This window comes from Homo sapiens, chromosome 2, assembly GCF_000001405.40.
Source record: "Homo sapiens chromosome 2, GRCh38.p14 Primary Assembly".
Classification (NCBI taxonomy): domain Eukaryota; kingdom Metazoa; phylum Chordata; class Mammalia; order Primates; family Hominidae; genus Homo; species Homo sapiens.
The window spans coordinates 83,116,031-83,117,113 of record NC_000002.12 but is presented as its reverse complement, the minus strand read 5'-3'; the positions used below and the strand labels follow the sequence as shown (position 1 = coordinate 83,117,113).

Sequence of the window (1,083 nt, the reverse complement as noted above, 5' to 3'; positions counted from 1 at the left end):
GCAATTCAATTAAAATAGTGTATATAAAAACATTTTATAAGTATAAGAATATTATGCATATATTATTTATGTTTTTCCGCCTCTAAAAGTATACCATAAACCTTGTTTTTTTTTGTACCAAAACAAGCCTCAATTTCCAAATAAGTAAAGATTTACTGCAGAAGTATTTATTAATTCTATTTGTGACTTGTCTCAGTTACAACTATTTCATCTAGACAATTCAGTCTTTTCAGTTGCACTGTATTTAAGTACAAACTTGAATACAGAATACATTATCTTCAATAATATAAACTAATCCATTTTGGCATGAAAGACACTAGGTTTATTATTGATTTTTCTTTAGCACTAAAAGGAAATTATGGCTGTGAACATCTTCTCTTTTAATAAGATTATAGCACTGAATATAATCAAATATAACTCCCCTTCTCTCTTCCATTGCTCACATCAAAATGGTAAATATTGCAATATTTATTAGTGAGTTCCTAACGTAGCAGAGTTGTAGACATAGAGATGCTTGCTCTTCCTTCTTACCTCCTCTGTTATTTGCCTTTTGCTCATCTGTTTCTGTATCTGGAATACAGAAAGTTCCATAGAGTACTAGTAAAACTTTATATCAAAAATAATCTTCATCAAAATTATTTTCAGCAACTAAATGAACACACCAATTTACATTGACTTTAGGTACTCCCCTGTTTAGATTTAATAAAGACAAAATACCTGATCCTTAAATAGCAAAAGACTATATACTCAGGGTGTTATGTGTTATCAAATTTACCAAGTCATAGGATGGAGTGGGCATAGTTGTAATTTATTTTATCATAGTAACTAATCATTCAAAATTGGCTTTGAGCAGGTACAAAAGGAAGACATAATTTACATGATGAAGAAGTCCAGATTCCCCTGTCACCTACCTCAGCTGACCTGGCATGTTTCCCTTAACCCCTGCTTGTAGTTTATATGCAGTTCCTTCATGAAGGAGGAAAGCGTAGAAACCTAATTTAGAGCTATCAATACGGTATGTTGGTACTAGCTGGCAAAGATATTCTACTGAATTAAAATTCATCTCAAGGGTGGCACAAGACA

General features: G+C 31.8%; 1 long non-coding RNA gene across 1 annotated transcript; it reads right to left on the bottom strand.

Moving 5' to 3' along the window:
• Positions 1–450: 450 nt before the first annotated feature.
• Positions 451–1,083, bottom strand: LOC124908050 (uncharacterized). Its single transcript, XR_007088650.1, has 2 exons — positions 912–1,083; positions 451–570 (listed from the first exon to the last, which is right to left on the bottom strand). It is a non-coding gene; the product is annotated as an uncharacterized LOC124908050 (long non-coding RNA).